At 46.4% G+C, this 4,629-nt stretch overlaps 1 protein-coding gene across 1 annotated transcript, besides 1 other annotated feature; it reads right to left on the bottom strand.

The window, feature by feature from the left end:
* CARTPT (CART prepropeptide) lies at nt 2,209-3,979 on the bottom strand. Its single transcript, NM_004291.4, has 3 exons — nt 3,802-3,979; nt 3,291-3,374; nt 2,209-2,746 (listed from the first exon to the last, which is right to left on the bottom strand). The coding sequence occupies exons 1-3, from the start codon at nt 3,958-3,960 to the stop codon at nt 2,639-2,641; spliced, it is 351 nt and encodes a 116-aa protein (NP_004282.1). The 5' UTR covers nt 3,961-3,979; the 3' UTR covers nt 2,209-2,638.
* Nucleotides 2,955-3,841: an enhancer, noted in NCBI's record as "H3K4me1 hESC enhancer chr5:71015240-71016126 (GRCh37/hg19 assembly coordinates)". NCBI's record gives its function as "activates a minimal SCP1, AML or CMV promoter by ChIP-STARR-seq in naive and primed H9 embryonic stem cells {active_cell/tissue: H9 hESC(naive and primed)}" and the evidence as "EXISTENCE:reporter gene assay evidence [ECO:0000049][PMID:30033119]".

Genomic DNA, 4,629 nt, shown 5'->3' with positions numbered 1-4,629 from the left:
ACAGAGTAAAGGCAGGGGTGAGGGGAACAAGCTAAAAAGGTTTAGAGTCAAGTTTATATTCTTTTCTTTGAACTCCAGATTCCTCCAGCATCTCTTGCTTTTGGGGAAACACACCAGGCTAAAAGGGAAAGCAGTTCTGGCCAGGTGTGATGGCTCATACCTGTAATTTCAGTGCTTTGGAAGGCAGAGGCAGGATTGCCTGAGCCCAGGAGGTCAAGACCTAGCCTGGGCAATAAAGCAAGACCCCATCTCTCCAAAAATTAATTTTAAAAAATCAGCCAGGTGTGGTTGTGTGCATCTATAGTCCTAGCTACTTGGGAGGCTGAGGTGGGAGGTTTCCTTAAGCCCAGGAATTTGAGTCTGCAGTGAGCCAGGATGGCACCACTGCACTCCAGCCTAGGCAACAGAGTGAGACCTTGTCTCTAAAAAAAATAATAAGGAGAGAAAGCAGTTCTGTGTGTTAGCCCTGACGGTACTGCCTGTTCACTAAAGCAATTTCCTGATCTGACTTATTTAGGAGTGATAGATAGGAATAGTTAAGGGGCTCAAGAATATTCTAACTGAAATGATTTCTGGAAAAGTAGCAGACTGTGAAACTATTAAATAACTACTTGCACTTATTAAAAATTAAAACATATCCCATTCTGCCTGGGCGACGTGTGTCGCGCCTGTAATCCCAGCACTTTGGGAGGCCAAGGTGGGCAGATCGCTTAAGCCCAGGAGTTTGAGATCAGCCTGGACAACATGGCGAAGCTCCGTCTCTACTAAAAATACAAAAGTTAGCCAGGCATGGTGGTGCATGCTTGTGGTCCAAGCTACTTAGAAGCCTGAGGTGGGAGGATCACTTGAGCCTGGGAGATCGAAGCTGCAGTGAGCCGTAATTGTGCCACTGCACTTCAGCCTGGGTGACAGAGTGAGACCCTGTCTCAAAAAAAAAAAAAAAAAGAAAAGAAAAGAAAAGAAACAAACAAAAATACCACATTCTAATCACATATAGGCTTGTGTAGGGGAATTCAAACGGAAACACAGCCCCAAAAAATACACCTTGGCCCCCAGTGAGCAATTTTTATTAAGGAAAGATGTGCTTTCTGGGGAATTCAAAGCCCAGTCTGTTGATTGCCTAAGTGACATGGAGAAAAAGGACAAATCTTTGGAGTCAAAGGGATTACAGCTAAAATTATTATTTAGGATTATATGGTGTAAGCAAATTCCATAATTCTCTTGCCCTCTGTTTTCTACTCTGAAAAATAGTAATAATATCTATCTTGCAAGATTAGGCATGCTAATAATAATAATCACACTGAAAATGGTAACTGTGTATAAGAATATTTTCTATCAGAAAACTCCCTATGAATCCGTGGAGGGGCTTTATTTTTCAATTCTGCTATTATGCAAGTGCCTCTTGAGTTTGGATTAGGAAGCTGTTAACATTTATTTCTCTCATGATGCTGCTACTTAGATGTTACTTAGTCTGGTTTAAACCCTTGGAAATGTGACCTCAAATAAGCACTCAGAAATATTTAAAAGCTACTTAACTTTACATTTAATATGTTTTAATTTCTTGAGTTGAATTCTCACCTCCTCCAATTTTTATTTGTTCCCCTCAAAACTATTTTCTGAAATGACTCTTTCTCCTGGAATAGAGAATTTTTTCCAAGAGTGTGAATTTACTTGTGGGAATGAATGGGTCTTATAACCTTGGAGTCTTTAGACAAATAACAACCCTAAACAGCCCATATCTTTAAATCAATGTATATTTTCTAATAAGGGAGTTGTCAAAACAAAATTTCTAATTTTTCAAATTGCTTTTAATGTGACTAAAACATGAAACTGTTTATAGTTTATTGGTCTCACTGTTTAAAGTAAAGGGTCTGGCTAAAGGTTTTAATAAACAAAATTATATAACCTCAACTCCAACCATCTCCATCTCATTCATCTCTCTCTTTCTCTCTCTCTCTCTCACACACACACACACACACACATACACACACACATACACACACCACATCGCTGCAATCAAAGAAAAATAGAGTATACTAAAACTGGCTTGGCAAACTTCTAATTAACGATCAAAACTCCTTGGAGCTAAGGTGCCATTTTCCCAATAGGCTGCTATTTTTAAAATATTTTTCTTTGAAAACAACAGCATGATTAATCTCACCATTTCCACTTAAATTACTTATATGAAAACAGCAGTGCACTATGGGCAATTATTAAAAACACTTTATTATGTATAATTTGTACATGCTTCAATTTGTGTCACTTAGGGTGATTTATTTTCCAGGTTGTAATGACATCTACCGAGATTAGCTAGATCTAATTTTCATTCTGCCATGCCACATACAAAAATACAATTTTCAAACAAAGCTTCCCTTCTTTACACAAAGGTACACAAGAGTTTGTCAGACAAATAAAATAAGAATACTTCACACACGTATCAACACCATACAAGGCATTATTCTTCACACAGTAACATCTAATGTGTTCTTTTATTTTTGAAACAGCAGGAAAAGAGCCCTTTCCCTTCAGAGGAAAATAAAAACTTTATCTGTTGCTTAAGCCAAACTCCAGGGAGGAAGGTGTGGTCCTCTGGGGAAAGTAGAGGGATGGGGATGTATGGAGGAGAATGGACGCCCCTTCATAAGCACTTCAGGAGGAAGGAATTGCAGGAGGTTCCTCGGGGACAGTCACACAGCTTCCCGATCCTTGCCCCTTTCCTCACTGCACACTGCTCACCGGCGTCACACTGAAACAACAAAATGTGTGGTCATCGAGTATGAACAAACCCAGGTTCCCAACAGGCAAGTCTCACAGTCAACGCAATTTCTGTCTCTTGAAAGGGGCAATTGGACCCCATCACCATCACAAGAGGTCTACGTACAGTCAGATCTGAAACAGGGAGCCTTGTGCTTATAACCTCAGTGAGAGTACATTTTTTAAAGAAACTTACATTATTAGTTTTATCCTAGTTTCTTCCACCTTTAAGTGGCGAGGGTTGGGGGGCGTGGGAAGGGGAGCATCACATTTCCTGGCTCCTTTTCTTGCCCTCTCAGAGGGGAAAAAAATCAGACCTTTTTCCTGAGCAACAAACAATAGACTTACACTTTCTTACAACCCCTGTTCCTGCTTTCCCATTTCCTCACCCGGGAAGGAAGAAGGAGCCCACAGAATCCTGCAAGCCCATTACCTAAGTTATTTAGCCACATCCTACGGAGAAGACTGTGTGTACGATTCAAGGCGGTGTACTTTCTCTTGGAAAAACACGGGAAGGGAGTGACCACAAACCTTACCATGGGGACTTGGCCATACTTCTTCTCATAGATGGGAACACGTTTACTCTTGAGCTTCTTCAAGACTTCTTGCAGCGCTTCGATCTGCAACACACCGCTTCGGAGCCTGAAGTTGCCGCCTTGGCTGCGAGCCCAGCCCAGGTGCGCACTTCCAGCCCTAGTTATAAGGAGCCCCGGACCCACACGCACTCTGCGGTGGGACTCCGCGGACACAGGGAATGGTCGAGGGGTGGAAACTTAGCGGACGCTGTCCCAGGTACTGACCGCGGGTCTCTGAGCCGCTGGGGTCCCTGTTGCTCAGAGGGGCCGGGATGAGGGATTCGCTCAACAGACTGCCAGGAGCCCGTGAGCTCGAGACGCTCTTCGGATGGCAGTGGGTGCCTGGGCGTTGCGCTCAGCTCCCCGCGCCCTGACTCTGGGAATAGGAGTGGGGGTGGGGGGAGGAGGGAGGCGTGCAAGAGAAGAGACAAGGCGACAGCTCAAGGGGGTCGAGAGCGAGGGGAATACCGACCAGCTCCTTCTCGTGGGAGGCATCATCCACGGCAGAGTAGATGTCCAGGGCTCGGGGCTGGAGCTCGGCGTCCTCCTGGGCACGGGTACCCAACAGAGGTAGCATCAGCAGCAGGGCGGCGCCCAGGAGGGGCAGCAGCCTCACGCGGGAGCTCTCCATCGTTCTGAAACTCGTCGTTGCTGGGGCACCACGCGCTCCCACCTTTTATAGTGAGCCCGAGCCCCCGTGCAGGAAAGAGGGAGGAGGCGAAGAAGGAAGGGGGTGTGGAGGAGGGCCCGGGTCAACCGTCTGTAGGCAGCGCTCCGCCGGCGCTTGACGTCAATGCCCGCCGGGTTCCAGGCGCCTGGGAACGAGGCTCTGCGCACAGATGGGCTAGAGCGCAGAGAACAGGACCCTGCGCCCCCAAAGGCTGTCAGTCTCACGGCAAGGGATGCTCCCCGAGGGGCCTGAGCTGAAGCCGAGGGGCTAGAGGTGAGGGACGGGAAGCGGGAGGGGCCTAGGAAATGGAAAATGCCTTCGGGTCAATGCACAGGCAGGAGAGTCGTTTCCCAACACCTAGCAGTGGTGACAGCTGCAACATCCACCTCGCCAGCCCTGCCTTGCCTCGCACCCCAACCCCAAGTGTGGCGGTGAGAAGGGGGTGTTGCCTCCAGACAGCCACATTTGCTGAGCACCTTACTCTGTGGGGTAGGGGAAGCAAACATACTATACAAAAGAAAGAGAAATAGTGGCCCTCCACGTGATGGGTTCTATGATGGAATCTGTGTGACAATAGTTAAAAGAAGAGAGGGAAAACAGACAAACCCGGATTCAGCAGTGGTGTTGGAA

The sequence above is a fragment of the Homo sapiens genome, chromosome 5 (assembly GCF_000001405.40).
Source record: "Homo sapiens chromosome 5, GRCh38.p14 Primary Assembly".
Lineage (NCBI taxonomy): Eukaryota > Metazoa > Chordata > Mammalia > Primates > Hominidae > Homo > Homo sapiens.
The sequence above is the reverse complement of the archived record's forward strand: the minus strand, read 5'-3'. Positions and strand labels throughout refer to the sequence as shown.